The following is a 15,268-nucleotide window of genomic DNA, read 5'->3' as shown; positions in this document are numbered from 1 at the left end:
ACTAGCAGCCCACACATCTGCACATTCACAGGGCCTAACCAAGCAGTCCTGGGGAGGGTCCCTCCAAAGAGAAGTGGGCACTGATCAGCCTGGCTGTGCCTGTGGGCAGGTCGCTTTGCCTCTTCCAAACCACATATGTGAACTGGGCATAGCACTGACCTCCTGGAGCTCTCAAGAGAATTAAACAGGACATCTGGGAAAGGGGGCCCTTCCCTCCTCTGCCACCCCAGTGACCCCAGGGAAGGTTTCTACCCACCCCAAACACTACCCTCTGTACCTGAAACGTCATGATCAGAAGAGGGAGAGGTGTTTGCTGGAACCCACTTTGTGCCAGGCACTCAACATGTGAACCCTTTCTTAAATTTTTTTTTTTTTTTTGAGACCGAGTCTCACTTTGTCACCCAGGCTGGAGTGCAGTGGTGCCATCTCGGCTCACTGCAACCTCCGCCTCCTGGGTTCAAGCCTATATACCTCTTCTCTAAATCCTCTCAGGGTCCATAGAATCCTTTCCTGGACACTAAGTCTCCTTTGAAGAACTCATTTGTTTCCTTATTTGGTCATCTTTCTATTATACAAGCTTTTTTTTTTTTTTTCCTTTTTAGACAGAGTCCGCTCTGTCACCCAGGCTGGAGTGCAGTGGTACCATCTTGGCTAACTGCAACCTCCACCTCCTGGGTTCAAGTGATTCTCCCACCTCAGCCTCCTGAGTAGCTGGAATTACAGGAACCCACCACCGCGCCCAGCTAATTTTTTTTTTTTTTTTTTTTTTTTGAGACACAGTCTCGCTCTGTCGCCCAGGCTGGAGTGCAGTGGCACGATCTCAGCTCACTGCAAGCTCCGCCTCCCAGGTTCACGCCATTCTCCTGCCTCAGCCTCCCGAATAGCTGAGACTACAGGCGCCCACCACTGTACCCGGCTAATTTTTTGTATTTTTTAGTAGAGACGGGGTTTTACCGTGTTAGCCAGGATGGTCTCGATCTCCTGACCTCATGATCCGCCCACCTCAGCCTCCCAAAGTATTGGGATTACAGGTGTGAGCCACCGCACCCGGCTAATTTTTGTATTTTTAGTAGAGATGAGGTTTTACCATTTGGCCAGGCTGGTCTCGAACTCCTGACCTCAAGTCATCCTCCCATCTCGGCCTCCCAAAGTGCTGGGATTACAGGCATGAGCCACCAGGCCCAGCTTCTTTAAAAAAATTTTGAAACAGGATCTCACTCTGTCACCCAGGCTTTGCAATCATGGTTCACTATAGCCTCAAACTCCTGGGGTCAAGAGATCCTCCTGCCTCAGTCGCCCGAGTAGCTGGGACTATAGGCATGCGCCACAGTACCTGGCTAATTTTTAAATTTTTTTGTAGAGACAGGGTCTTGCTATGTTGCCCAGGCTGGTCTTGAACGCCTAGGCTCCAGTGATCCTCCCTCCTCAGCCTCTCAAAGTGCTGGGATTACAAGTGTGAGCCACCGCACCCGGCCACAGGTGAACTGTTATTTAACCTTCAAAACAACACTGTGGGGTAGGTATTATTTCTCCCTTTTTACAAATGAGGAGCCTGAGACAGAGAGGAGTCCTTTCTTTCTCCTGCTGTCTGGGCCAGGGCACCTGGCATGGAGATCAGGAAGGTATTCGGGCTGAAGGAGACACAGGCCTGCACACCCTCCTCTAATGGGGATGGCCAGCTGTGGGCAGACACTGTGCTGGGCACAGGGCTCCAGGGATGAGCAAGACAGACCTAGTCCTGCCCCCTCAGAGTCATGGCCAGTGGGGACACAGACAGGAAACAGACTCCACTCCCAGTGGGTTCAGTTTGCAGGTGCACAGGGAAGCTGCTGGTGTTGTGAGGGTGTACAACAGAGCAGGAGAGCGGGTACTGACCTGGTCTGGGGGCTGGGGGAAGGCCCAGGGTCTGAAGGATGTGTAGAAGGTGGCAAGGGCACGACCAGGGGGTAAGTGTTCCTGCCGGAAAGCAAGGACCAACCAAGCCCTGAGGGAGTGTAAGAGGCCCGGGGCCAGTTCGTGGAGACAAGAAGAGATTTCCAACTCGATTTGGGGAGTCACTGATGGTTTTAAGCAGGTAGTGGCAGGCTCAGATTCAGAGTGGAAACCCTTGCTGCCTGTCTGCAGCGCACTAGGACACGGGGAGGCAGGAGACCATGGGCTCCAGGAGGAGCCTGGACGCCGGAGCAGGACAGTGGCCATGGGAAAGGGAGAACGTGGCTGGCCCCAGATGAAAAGAGCAGGGCCCCCAAGGCTCTGTGAGTGGGATGAGAGGGGGAGAGGAAGGGGCCAAGGCTGACCCCGTGCTTGGGTGGACAAAGGGCCCTTCACAGAGCTGGAGGCAGGGGATGATCGAGGGGCCCAGGGAGTCAGACTAGAAGCCGGGCTTATTGGAGGAAGAGCAGTGGGCTGGGAGAGGCAGGCATGGAGTGGGATTGAGGGAGCCCAGGGGTGGGAGGGAGAGCTGGGAGGCGGAGGTGCGACCGCGGTGGGGTCAGTGTGCGGGGAGTGGACGAAGCGGAGGATTGATGGGGGCGGGGGTCCCAAGCAAAGATGCTGGAGGGAGGCCTCCGTGGAGCGGACCGAGACCTCAGGAGCCTCCAGTCGGACTGGGGAGGCAAGAAGGAGGCCCTGGCTTCGATCTCGCACACGGCCTCGCAGGGATGAAGCCCGGGAGCCGAGGCTCGGTCTTCCCCACTGTGGTCCCTCTGGTCCGCCCGTTACCTCACCGACCCCCCGAGGGGGCTTTTAAGAGCTGGAAGAGGGGGTCCCGGGGGGCACTGATGCACCCCCACTCTCCTCCGCCGACCCAGAGGGTGGGAGCTCAGGTTCAAGGCCTGGCCTGGCCGTGCGGCTCCGGGACCCGGCTCCGCCCCGCGTCGGGGGGTGGCCCCGGCCCCTGGCCCGCCCCTTCCTCGGGTCCCCTCCCTGTCCGCGGCGCGCAGCCGGGTCTCATTAGCGCCCCTCCCCCCGGCTGCGCGCCGGGGGTCTCCACGGCCGGGGGGAGGGGCGGGCCTTAATCAATCCTAGGCCGGAAATTCCTCCCGGGGGGCCCGGCCTGACCGCTGAGCCTGGAAATCGGTCGCCGCCTCCCCCGAACCCGCCCCCCGCATCATGGAAACTGGGCCGACCGCCGGCCGCCCTGGCTCCCCCGCTCTGCATTCCTGCCTCCAGGGGCGGGAGGGCGCGAAGGCCGGGCCGCCCCCTTCGGGCTCGCCGGCGGGGTCGCAGCTCTCAGCACCCTCCCCGTTATTGGGAACAAGCCCGCTCCCCCACTGGCGAAGGGGCGCCTGTTCTTAGGAGTACCCGGCGGCACATCCGCACCCCGTCCGGTCCTTTCAGCTACAAGGCCCGCCCCTCCCCGGGCGCTGCTTTCGCTGAGGGCTTTGCGGAGTCGCCCCGGGCTGGCCCTTGGCGTCTGGCTCTTGCCTCTCGGCATCTTGCGAGGCTGAAGCCTTGGTGCCCATTGCACAGATGAAGTCCGCGAGGTTCAGCGACAGCAAGGGCTGCGGGACCGGGGCAGAGCAGGGACTCGGGCCGCCTCCTCCTGGAAGCTCCCCGGGCGCCTGGGATGAGGGGCTCTGGGAAGCGGGGAAGGACGTGCGGGTGTCGGGGCTCCTGGGTCCCGGGTCTCAGTTTCCCCATGTAGGAAGGGGTCGCCTTTGTGGGCCTTTGCGACCGATGTAAGCTGGGGGTGGGAGAGTGGGGATGGCAGAACTCGGGCCACGGGTGCCCGGAGTCACCAGGCGCGCACAGGGCGCCTACCTGCGATCCTTTGACCTGAGCTGCCGCCTTTCAGCGGCGGTGGGGCCGGGCCCGGCGCGGGTCGGACGGTCCCGGGGGCTGGAGGCGGGGCCGGGGCGGGGCTGGGGCCGGGCCGTGGAGACCCGGGCGGCTCTGGAGCCTCCGCGCGCGGACTGGGACCCGGACCCGCGCGGCGCTGCGGCGCCAGGTGAGCCGAGCTGGGGTCCAGGGGTCCGCACTCCACTTTTCCCAACTTTTCGTTTGGTCCCTCCCTCCCTCCCTCCCTCCCTCGGTCAGGGCCCCTGGGGGCGGGAGCGCGGCCCTCCCGTTCCCCCAGGCGGGAGTGTGGACGCGGGCGGTGGCGGGACCCTGGAGTCCTGGGGACTCGGCCCCAGCATCTTCTGTCGGGCTGTGCGCTGTGTCCCCAAGTTTCCGCCTCCCTGGTGTCCCCAGCGTCGGCCCACTACCTCCACGGCTCGGGGTCTCTGAGCGTGTCCCCATGTCCCCACTCTGCTTGTTTTCGCTTCCCTCGCGGCAGCGACGCGCGGGGCTCCGGGTGACCTTGCTGGAGCCGGGGCTGAGAGCGCCAGTTCTGGCTTGAAGCGATGATCGCTCCTCCGGTTGCGGGCTGGGGAAAGGGCTGCAAACTCAGGGACAAGGAGGGGATGGGCCTCGCTTCCTCCTGGATACTCCCGTGGCTGTCCTGAGAGGGGTCTAGGGCTGGGGCCCCGGAGCCCGGCGTCGGACCTGGCAGAGCCCCCGCCTAGTGCGGGGTCGGGCAGTCTCCCCGGCCTCCCTGGGCCGTAGTTGCAATCTGTGAAACCAGGCTTTGGACGCGGGAGAGTGGCGGCTCCCTGCTAGGCCCGGGCCTTGAGCGCTCCAGTCGGAGGCAGGGATGGGTGTCCTGCTTTGAGGTTTGGGGTGCAGATGGGGCGTGGGTCGGGGAGCAAGGCCGCCTCCCCGAGGTTTCGGCTGCGGGCTCCAGCGCGGTGGTTCTTTAGGAAGCGGACGCGAGCAGTGAGGACGACCCTGGACAGCTAGGCCCTGAGCCTCCTCTCCTGCGGCCTGGGGCGCCTGGGCGGGGGCCGCGTCTTCTCCCTCGCCCTCCCTTTCGTGGGGGCCACACCGCACGCAGCTCGGCTACTCCTGCTGGGCCCGGGATCCAGGCCACAGGCCGCAGGCAGGGCGCGGCCAGCAATCGGGAGGGCTTAAGCTGTGCGGCCCGGATCCCGAGGCGCAGGGGCGGTGCTGCTCTGACCGGGCCACGGGCCACGGAGGCCTCGGGCGGAGGAGGCGGGAAAGGAGGCCAGGCGGCGGGAAAGGGGGATGATTCATCCGGAGGAGCCCGAATTGGAAACGTCGCAACCTGGGAACAGCCTTGCCCGGGCCGACGGGGGAGCCGGGAGGGCATCCGTCCGGCGGGGCCCAGCGCCCGGCACCGGCACCCCCGCCTGCTGCCGTGGCCCCAGCACGACCGCTGGGGGAGGGAGAGGCCTCTCATGCGTGGACTTGATGGAAATCTTGGGCGAAGTCGGCGCCGCCTCTCCTCCTCTGCCTGGCTGGTCTTGATCCGAGCGGTCTTCCCGGTGTCTAGCTCAAGTCGCTCCTGCTGCAGCTTCGCTGCGGGCGGAGGAGGTCTGGAAGGAGGGGGCGGGCAGGGAGAGGCTGGAGCCGGTGACGCCCCCTCCTCCCGCGCTGCGGTATGTAAAGCACAGTAGGGGGGAGGTGGGGCCCGGCGAGCGACCCCTGCGGACCTGGGAGGCCCGAGCGCCCCCGCCCCATTTGCTACGGTGCAGCCACGTGCGGGGGTGGGGTCGAGCCCGGGAGGTACTTACCCTGGAGACGCGGCAGCTGGGGGCCGCACGTTTCCCGAGGCCCAAGACCCGCGGGCTTGCGGACCGGACGCAGGCGGCAGATTTGCAGCCCGGGATGCGCCAGGGAACAGCCTGCGCCCCCCTCCCTCCTCTCCGCCCGCTGGCCGGGCCAACTCCGGCTTCTGCCGCGCGTGCCTGGCTCGGAGCTCCGCTGCGGAAAACCCGAGCGCGGGCGGCTCCCCGCCTCGCCGCCCGGGAAAATCCGGGGGTGGCCGCCAGGGATCTCCAAGCGGCCTGGGCTGGGCGGCCGGAGCTTCCCTCCCGGATTTGCGCCCCGAACCTGGCGCCCTGAAGCTAGAGGCCCGTCGGTCCAGTCCTTGCCTCCCATCTTCTCTCCGCAGAGCGCCCAGACGACGGCGAGATGACGGCCGGGAGCCCCGAAGAATGCGGGGAGGTGCGGAGGAGCCCCGAGGGCCGCGTCTCTCGCTTGGGCCGCCGCCTGGGCCGCCGCCGGCGCCCGCGCTCCCCGCCCGAGCCTCTGCGGGTGCGGGCGCGGCTGCGGCTGCGCTCGCCGTCGGGGGCGTTCGCGGCGCTGGGGGCGCTCGTGGTACTGGTGGGTATGGGCATTGCAGTGGCCGGCTACTGGCCGCACCGGGCCGGGGCCCCAGGGTCCCGGGCCGCCAATGCCAGCTCGCCCCAGATGAGCGAGCTGCGACGCGAGGGTCGCGGCGGGGGCCGGGCTCACGGCCCGCACGAGCGGCTGCGGCTCCTCGGGCCGGTGATCATGGGCGTCGGCCTGTTCGTGTTCATCTGCGCCAACACACTGCTGTATGAGAACCGAGACTTGGAGACGCGACGGCTCCGCCAGGGGGTGCTGCGGGCCCAGGCGCTCCGGCCCCCCGACGGCCCGGGCTGGGACTGCGCCCTCCTTCCCAGCCCCGGCCCTAGGAGTCCCCGAGCCGTAGGCTGCGCAGAGCCAGAAATCTGGGACCCGTCCCCGCGTCGGGGTACTTCACCCGTCCCGTCAGTGCGGAGTCTGCGTTCAGAGCCCGCTAATCCTCGCTTGGGGTTACCTGCCTTGCTCAACAGCTACCCGCTGAAGGGCCCCGGGCTGCCCCCACCCTGGGGTCCACGGACGCAGACTGGCCATGTGATCATCACCGTGCAGCCGTCTGGCTCCTGCATTGAACATTCCAAGTCTCTGGATCTGGGCCTTGGGGAGCTCCTCCTTGGGGCCCCAGCAGCTCGGGACTGTGCTCACCGAAGCTGGCCACGGCTGGACCGCCTCAGTCTTGGGGGCTATGCCAAATTGGGAGGAGGAGGGGACTTGGGGGCCCGGGTCTGAAGAGAGGGGAGACAGCCTGCTCTGAGGCTGCAGCATGGACCATGCTAATAGGACCAAAGGACCAGGAGTCCCAACGTCTAATAGATGTTTCAGTCACATCCCAGGCTGGGGATGGATGCTCTGACCACAGCAGCTGTGAAGGGCATCCTGACCTGCATGCGGGCAGAGAAATGCCAGCTGCACCAGGGCTCAGTGAGCTGGAGAGGGTGCGTTTCACTGTGGGGTGTGGAGGACTCGCCTCAGGAATTTCTTCAGCCTCTGTAAGTGGCCTTAGCCCTAACAGGGCTGGAGGTCCAGGCCAGGGTGACTGGGAGATGTACCCAGTGTCTTGGCAAACCCAAGAAAGTGGTGGGCAAGGGCCCCTAAGACTGGGAGGTAGGTTGGGATGTTACAGGCTGGGGCAGGCTCCCTCCAAGGCGGCACTGGTGATGGAGTGTGGGGCCTCTGGGAAGATGGACCACGGGATGAGACTCTCCACTGCCATCTGGGACGGGGACTGAGCCTTGAACTCCTACCACCTCAATCCCTTTCTTCCCTCAGCCATCTGGGGTATATCCCTCTAGAGCTACACTACTGCCAATGCCTTCATACTGAGTTCTGGGCCCTTCTGCAAATAAGTCTGAGAAGCCCCTTCTCTCCTTCCTTTATCGTGGCCTATGCTGCAGAATCTCACTGCAGCTGGCAAAAGGCATTGGCCAGCTCTCAGAAATCCCTTTACTCAACGTTGAAGCTGCATTTTGGTCAATGTGGGTAACTTACTTTAGAAAATGACTTGAGTTTAGGTCTCCCCCACCCATATTTAATTTTTCCCAAGTTGCTGGTAGAAGAGAAATTTAAAAGTGGATCAATCCTCACAGAGAGAGTTCTTTTTGTTGTTGTTTATTGAAAAAAATGCAATACAAGAAGCAAGACCAAACAGATATCTAAACACTACAACCACTTCTACTACGAAAGGCCAAAACAGCAGACTTGATTATTGCCTGTGTAGTCTAAAGATTCTGCCAATCTGATTCTGCTGCCCGAGTTCCTATTTTTTCAAGAAATGTAAACAACTACTTGATATGATTCATAATTTTAAAAAAAATTTACAAAGCTCCTTCATTTTTGTCACCAAAATAATACATTTGAGAGAGATTTGTAGAAACAACCAGCCTGGGGCTGAGATCCTGGGCAGAAATTTCCCGTGAGCATCAAAAGGCGTCAGTCAGGCCGCAGCTCTGGCTCCAGTTCCCGAGGTTTGTTGTCTCCTCACCCCCAGCTGCCAAGCATCCCCCCAACACACACTGATGGGCCCAGCGGTGGAGGGGGGGGTGGGGACGGGGATGGGTCACGGGGCCCTGACGGGTCCCGCAGTTAGGCTCCCTGAGCCCTCGGCTTATAAATACAGGTCTTGCTTTGTGGGTGGGTGCCAGAGTCCTCATGTGGCTTGGAGGAAATCTTTATTTCTCAAATTAAAATAAAATTGCAGCGAGAGTTGTTACTGTGGTGTGTCTGAGTCACTCTAGGAAAACTGTTGCCAAGTTTCTGACCCTGGAAATGTAATTCTCTTCCCCCTCCTCACCATTTCTACCTGGACAGAGTCTGTTTTTCTTCACACAAACACACATACACACAACTGCAGAAAGAAAAAAAATCCAAACAATTGCCAAACCCCAAGAACTGTTGCCAGAGATGGAGGAAAGGGGAAGAGGCCTGGAAGGACACCCATCTTGCTGGGCTTGTCCAAATCTATGGCTTCTAAGAGCCTGAAAGGCATTAGAGCTCTTTTCATCCAATTTACAGACAACGAAGCCGAGAGAAGTGAGTTGGTGACAGAGCTGAGGGAAACGTTTAGGCCCCCGATGAACGGTCCTGTGCTGTGAAAGCTGCCACACTGTTCTAGATCACACGGAATATTCAGTGGGTTAGTTTTTAAAGGGACACTCAGTGCCCTCTGCCTTTTCCCCATCCTCTTCGTTCCACAGGTCTGGAAGCCCTGGTAGCTCTTCCTACAGGCCATCTGGCCATCAGGCAGTGGGCATGCACTACATGTTCGTTTGATGTAAGCTGCATTTCTTGTCACCACTCCTGGCAACACGACCAGGCTTGGGCACTACCCCAAAGCCCACCTTTCAGACCCTCTGCCCACAGCCTATAATTTTGTTCCTGAGATAGGACAAGCTCTTTCCCCTAAGCCTGTCCCACGTCCCACCTGGGCTCTTTCCCTCCCTCCTGTTGTTCATGTCTCACATGGGTACCAAAAGAAAAATGCACACACCCGAAATGAGTTCAAACCAGCCGAAACAAAACTCAGGCAGTGGAGACTTTGGACGGTGTTGGGAGAAGCAGCTTTAGACATTTCTCTTGCTCACTGCCCTTGAGCCCCAGTGACTGCTGCCCGATACCCACTGTCTATTTTAGGAAGCTGGAACTGGGATTCTAAGGAGCCTTGAGGCCAATGTGTTTGTGGGAAGCAGTTGGAAGGTTAGAGAAGTTCTGTTAAATAAAAATGCCCCAAATCGGCCGGGCGTGGTGGCTCACACCTGTAATCCCAGCACTTTGGGAGGCCAAGGTGGGTGGATCACCTGAGGTCAGGAGTTCGAGACCAGCCTAACAAGGTGAAATCCCGTTTCTACTAAAAATACAAAAAATTTGCTGGGCGTGGTGGTGTGCGCCTGTCATCCCAGCTACTTGGGAGGCTGAGGCAAGAGAACTGCTTGAACCCAGGAGGCGGAGGTTGCAGTGAGCCGAGATCGCGCCACTGCACTCCAGCTTGGGCAACAAGAGCGAAACTCCGTCTCAAAAAAACAAAAAACTATGCCCCAAATCCTTACCAGGAATTAGGGCATCATCTTCACTTTCAAAAATCAAAATGAAAAAAAGGAAAACTAAGCCCCAAACCCACCACAAAATCAAGCCTTCAAAACCTGACAGACCTCAGCTGGTGAGTGGGAATGAGCAGGGCTGGGGCTTATACCCCTTGTCATGTGGTGTCTTGTGGGGAGAACGGCTCCTAAAAGTCAATTCCTTGCTCTAGAAGGGTGTCCTCAGGCAGGTTCCTGTTGAGAGAAGAAAGGTCAAAAAAGAAAAACCCTTCTCTGAGCCACATTCCTTGTCATTTGGGATGAAAGAAAGGCCCAGGATCAGACAGAAGTAACCCCATTCCCCTGTGTGAAGTGCACACTCTCAAAACTAGAAAACCTTATTTTAAAAACCTCATTAACTTTCCTTCCCCAAATCACCACTAAAAATGTTCCATTAGAGCTTTTGGCCCAAAGTGCCTATTTTTCTGTGAGATTTGGTCTCCTGAGATGGGAGCTAGGGGGAGCACTTAGCTGAGCCACTGCTTCTGATGAGGTAAAAGGGTAGCTGGAGAGGTGAAGGCCACGGATATGTTCAAACATTCACAGTATCAGATATCTGAAGCAACTTCCATGTCTTTGACCCAAAGAAGCTCCAAAAAGAAAGCAGGAGGGAGAGGGGAAAAACAATACTACATTCTCAGCAGAGGGCTCTGCCTTACCAAAACCACCCGCAACAAAGGAACAGGGGCATCTTTCCGAGGTCTGTGGATCAGGGCTGGTGCCCTCCCTGGCATTCTGATACACTCACATCACTGGCTCTGAGAAAGGGCTGGTTCATGAAGTTTCTGCCATCATCCAAAGGGGATAAGACTAGGGAGAGACGCGGAAGTCCCACTAAGCTGGCTTTGGCTTCCAACACAGCTGACAAGAGTCCTTGGAGGATTTCCCGAAGAATTCCATGGACCCTGTCAGTGTCTGTTGGGGTTGGAAATAAATGGGCAGAGAGGCTAGGCTGAAGGGGTTACAAACCACCCAATTAAAAAAACCCCAAAACTCTTAAAACAGTCTATAGAGTGAAAAGTTGAACAATTCTGATATCCTAATATAGAAAAAGCTCTTCAAAAGGATCAATGAGATCTAGAAGAATCTCTTGGTATAAACTCCCAATAGAAACTGAAATTAATTTTCTGGTGATTTAGAATAATCTTGAAAGTCTGAAGTCTGACTATGGCAGGTTAGCTTCTTTATCATTTTGCTGGTTTCTCTTGGATGGGAGAAGGGCAGAGTTGGGGTAGGTTAGTTCCTAGAGAAAACAAAGAAGCAAAATTTAAAATCCTGCAAAGGAAAAAGCTTCCTAGTCCCATTGCCAAGTTCCTGTGGCCATCAGTGACAATGGGGATGTGAGCAGGTTTACAGGGCCTGGTCCCACCTAGTGAGATTGGTGGCTTCTTCAAGTCTTTTTAAAATTACTTTTAGGCATGAATTTATCTGGATCCCTGGTTCCCAAAAAGCAGCTTCCCTGCTCCCAGCTCTCTACTCTGGTCTCAGAGCTTCAGCCATTACCTCCCTGCTCTGCATGCCCACCCATCTCCAGACAGCCTGATCCTGCTCTTCTTGGTTTTTTCTCCTCTGGCTTTCCCAGGTTCTGGCTCAAAGATACCTGTGACTGGCCAGGCGCGGTGGCTCATGCCTGTAATCCCAGCCCAGCACTTTGGGAGGCCAAGCCAGGTGGATCATTTGAGGTCAGGAGTTCGAGACTAACCTGGCCAACATGGTGAAACCCCGTCTCTACTAAAAATACAAAAATTAGCTGGGCATGGTGGCACATGCCTGTAGTCCCACCTTCTTGGGAGGCTAAGGCAGAATTCCTTGAACCCGGGAGGCGGAGGTTGCAGTGAGCTAAGATCATGCCACTGCACTCAAGCCTGGGTGACAGAATGAGACTCCGTCTCAAAAAAAAAAAAAAAAAAAGAGAGACCTGTGACAGCAGCAAGCAGAGCAGTAGAGAGAAGAGAGGGGGAAGGTGAAGTGGATCTCCAGCAGGATGCATGAAGACTCAGAGGGTAGCTGGGGGCTTATATCCAAGTTTGGGTCCCTCCTCTTACCCAATAATGCTGGCACTGCTACAGGCTGCTTTAGTTGGAGCCAAATACTTAATTTCCTATATCTCCCACATCAGCCTCTCGTCTGCCTTTATCAAGTCCCAGGGTGAACACCTCTTTGTGGGGATGGGCTCCCAGTGTGTCCGAGGGTCCCATCCAGAGCCCTCTCAGGCTGGGACTGTGGGCACCCTCAGCCCCAGCAGGAACGCCCAGTACCTGAGCTCACTCATCAGCAATCTCGGTCTCCTGGTGGACGACCACCTTGGTCACTGACATGTCTGGGTGCTGCTCCTTTGCCTCCTTGATGGCTTGTACAAGGACCTACAAAAGACAGAAACAAGGGCAATGAGGCAGAAAATAGCCTGATGGCGAAGGAAGGCAGTGGTCATCATTTCTCTGATGTTCTGACAGATCCAATACTCCTGTCTGCAGTACCAGGGCAGCTTTAGGCTAAGCCAAGCTGATAATTACCTTACCCACCCTATCCTGCATAGGGAGGCTTCTGGACTGATAACACAGGGACAGGGAAGGTTAGCGCTGTCTTCTAGGAACTGGAGAGGGACTTCGGGGGTCATAGCTGTATCTGTTATATGATCCTTTATTTTTTTTTTATTTTTTGTTGTTGTTGAGATGGAGTCTCGCTCCGTCACCCAGGCTGGAGTGCAATGGTGCAATCTCGGCTCACTGCAACCTCCGCCTCCCAGGTTCAAGCAGTTCTCCTGCTTCAGCCTCCTGAGTAGCTGGGATTACGGGTGTGTACCACTACGCCCAGCTAATTTTTGTATTTTTTGTAGAGATGGGGTTTCACCATGTTGGCCAGACTGGTCTCGAACTCCTGACCTCAAATGATCCACCTGGCTTGGCCTCCCAAAGTGCTGGGATGACAGGTGTGAGCCACTGCACCTGGCCTATATTATCTATTATACCTATCTATTATCTATCATTATACCTGGAGGGTCTGAGAGGATTCACTCAAGATGTGAATCTAAAGGACAAAACAACATCTGTGTTCAGCATGGGTAAGTGGCAAGTTCAGGACGGGAGAGGAAAGTAAAGAAGTGTGCAAGAAAAAGGAAGAGATGTCCTTGGCCAAAGTAGAAGAAAGGAAGGAAGAGGACAAGGGACTGTTATATGCCATGCACTAGCCTAAGTACATTACTTATTACTTAAACTCTATTAAGTTATAATTTATTAATAACTATATTGTTATTAAGATAATAACTATTATCATTACTTTTTACTTAAACATGACAACTTAGTGCATTAAGGTAATGTAATTTTTTGCATTTTATAGGTGAGGAAACTGAATTTCAGTAAAGAGCTTACTGTTTCATAGCTAGTAGGTAGTGAAACAGGGACTTTTTTTTTTTTTTTTTTTTTTTTAGACGGAGTCTCACTGCCCAGGCTGGAGTGCAGTGGTGTGATCTTGGCTCACTGAAACCTCTGCCTCCTGGGTTCAAGCGATTCTTGTGCCTCAGCCTCCCAAGTAGCTGGGGTTACAGGTGTCCGTGACCACGTCTGGCTAATTTTTGTATTTTTAGTAGAGACAGTGTTTTGCCACCTTGGCCAGGCTGGTCTCGAACTCCTGACCTCAGGTGATCCACCTTGCTCGGCCTCCCAAAGTACTGGGATTATAGGCGTGAGCCAACGCACCCAGCCGTGCAATAGGGATTTTAACTCAAGTCGATCAGACTTTCCTCTTTACCACACTGTTGTTTAGTTTCTGAGGGGGTCCCTGTTTGAGGATCTGGAGGAGCTTTGATTACTTTAGAAAAGCTAAAGAGAGCAGAGGGAAAGTCAAAAGAGCAAAAACACCATCCTCTTTGGGCTGCAGTCTCTGAATTTGCAGGCTCCCCTATGGAAAAGGACTCAGCTAGAAATGACCAGCTGACTACTCACCTGGCTCTTAAGAACCATCTCTAGAAGGGGCAAGGGAAGAAGGAAAACCCTCTTCTGGTCTCCTGGCTCTATGAATGGCATTCTTAGAACTACCACCTCTGTGGGCCCCTGACCATCCTCCCTGATCCTGTTTGCCCAACCCATCTGCTCACACCTCAGGCCCAGCTCAAGTCTTCTCTTTGTGACTCTGCCTCCGCCCACCTCTCTATGAAACCTGCTGCTCCACACTGCTTCTCCTTAACAGTTCTTAAAGTGCCTCCCTCGCCAGCCAGAGTGTACCATAGCTTACCCCTTCCATGCACTCTCAGTAACTAGAAAACCTGAGGGACACTGGAGCATCTCTCTGAGCTACCAAGTGTGTTTGGCCCTTATGACCCTGGAAGAAACCTGTGATCATCCTTATTTTACAGATGGTAAAACTAGAGCTCAGGTTGGTAATATAAGTTGCTCAAGGACATATAACCAATTAGGTCGCAGAGTCAGGATTCAGCCCAAGTCTGTCTCACTCCAAACCTCAAACACCTTTCACCGCATTGCTTTTGCTGTCTAGTGCAGACTGAGCACGTAGCAGGGGCTCAGATCACACCAGACTGAGTGGGTGGGTGCAGGCTTCTAAAGCAGCGGGACCCACTGAGCTGGGCCAACAGGCTGCAAGATATTTAGGCTTTGCAGCCTTGTTTCTGGGACCCTGTGTCCACTATTCTCAGCTGTAACTCTCAACCCTGCCTCCAAGGGAACTGCCAGCACTGTAGCTCAGTTTTTCTTTTTTTAAAGGCACTCAGCATATCAGCATAAAAAGGCCACAGAATTATTGCTCCAGCAACCCAGTCAACGATTCCAGAAGCATTTGCATGCAATCTCTTCCACCCCCTCTTCTCTGCAGCTTTACTGTTCTAACCTCACCCAGCAGAGAACTGGGAACATTAATCCTGACCTTATTATTTGCTAATTGCTTGCAGCACACAATTAGCACCCAATTAACATAAAAATATAGAATTTTAGCACTCAGGCCCAGAAATTATCTAGATCAACCCACTCTCTTTTAGGAAAGGAGAAAAAAATCAGCGGAAAAGTGATTTGCCCAAGGTCACACAGCAAGTTAGAGATGTAGGGCAGAAAACAAGTTTCGAGTCTGCTGGTGTCTTGTCCACCATACTATGCTCCCGCTCGTGTCTTCTCGGCTGTTACAGCTCTCTAAGGGTAGGGGCATGCTTCCCTTTGTTTTGATGTTGTCTAGCATGGGTTCAGGTACCTTTACCTTCGGAATAACAATAGCTCCATTTAACTGAGCTCACCATGTGCCACCAGCTGTTCATCCAGTATTTCACCTGATTCTCACAACAACCCTGAGAGGGAGATACTATCATCTTCATCTTACAGATGCAAAATGGAGGCCCAGAGAGTTAACAGCTAGAATATATTAAGAACCAGCAATTGAATCAAGTCTTGGAATCCAAAGCTCATGTTCTTTCCATTACATTTCCTGGCTCCTCAATCTGTGGCCTCCATCCCACAGGCCTCTTACTTTGATTGTCTTTGTCTTTCTTCTCAATTAAGAGCTAGAGTGGCCAAAGAGGCTTTTTG

The 15,268-nt window shown here is 55.8% G+C and overlaps 2 protein-coding genes across 59 annotated transcripts in view, besides 4 other annotated features; one reads left to right on the top strand and one right to left on the bottom strand.

The window, feature by feature from the left end:
* Window positions 1,909-2,768: an enhancer, noted in NCBI's record as "H3K27ac-H3K4me1 hESC enhancer chr1:29451549-29452408 (GRCh37/hg19 assembly coordinates)". NCBI's record gives its function as "activates a minimal SCP1, AML or CMV promoter by ChIP-STARR-seq in primed H9 embryonic stem cells {active_cell/tissue: H9 hESC(primed)}" and the evidence as "EXISTENCE:reporter gene assay evidence [ECO:0000049][PMID:30033119]".
* Window positions 2,769-3,628: an enhancer, noted in NCBI's record as "H3K27ac-H3K4me1 hESC enhancer chr1:29450689-29451548 (GRCh37/hg19 assembly coordinates)". NCBI's record gives its function as "activates a minimal SCP1, AML or CMV promoter by ChIP-STARR-seq in primed H9 embryonic stem cells {active_cell/tissue: H9 hESC(primed)}" and the evidence as "EXISTENCE:reporter gene assay evidence [ECO:0000049][PMID:30033119]".
* Window positions 3,629-4,488: an enhancer, noted in NCBI's record as "H3K27ac-H3K4me1 hESC enhancer chr1:29449829-29450688 (GRCh37/hg19 assembly coordinates)". NCBI's record gives its function as "activates a minimal SCP1, AML or CMV promoter by ChIP-STARR-seq in primed H9 embryonic stem cells {active_cell/tissue: H9 hESC(primed)}" and the evidence as "EXISTENCE:reporter gene assay evidence [ECO:0000049][PMID:30033119]".
* On the top strand, window positions 3,902-8,376 carry TMEM200B (transmembrane protein 200B). 2 transcript variants are annotated; one of them, NM_001003682.4, is made up of 2 exons: window positions 3,902-3,949; window positions 5,957-8,376. In NM_001003682.4, the coding sequence occupies exon 2, from the start codon at window positions 5,977-5,979 to the stop codon at window positions 6,898-6,900; it is 924 nt and encodes a 307-aa protein (NP_001003682.1). In that variant the 5' UTR covers window positions 3,902-3,949; window positions 5,957-5,976; the 3' UTR covers window positions 6,901-8,376. The 2 variants fall into 2 exon arrangements, with proteins under 2 accessions (NP_001003682.1, NP_001165339.1); NM_001171868.2 differs by lacking the exon at window positions 3,902-3,949 and adding an exon at window positions 5,304-5,441.
* Window positions 6,168-6,547: a silencer, noted in NCBI's record as "silent region_552". NCBI's record gives its function as "represses an Ori minimal core promoter by ATAC-STARR-seq in GM12878 lymphoblastoid cells {active_cell/tissue: GM12878}" and the evidence as "EXISTENCE:reporter gene assay evidence [ECO:0000049][PMID:35858748]".
* Window positions 7,764-15,268, bottom strand: part of EPB41 (erythrocyte membrane protein band 4.1) — a 232,942-nt gene continuing 225,437 nt past the window's right edge. For all 57 annotated transcript variants that reach the window (NM_203342.3, NM_001166005.2, NM_203343.3 and 54 more), the window contains 2 exons: window positions 12,002-12,106; window positions 7,764-10,986 (listed from right to left, as the gene is read on the bottom strand). In NM_203342.3, the coding sequence (NP_976217.1) occupies window positions 12,008-12,106 (99 nt within the window). In that variant the 3' untranslated portion in view covers window positions 7,764-10,986; window positions 12,002-12,007. The remainder of the gene's footprint in view (window positions 10,987-12,001; window positions 12,107-15,268) is intronic.

Source organism: Homo sapiens, chromosome 1, assembly GCF_000001405.40.
Source record: "Homo sapiens chromosome 1, GRCh38.p14 Primary Assembly".
Taxonomy (NCBI): domain Eukaryota; kingdom Metazoa; phylum Chordata; class Mammalia; order Primates; family Hominidae; genus Homo; species Homo sapiens.
This window is presented reverse-complemented; position numbering and strand designations above follow the sequence as displayed.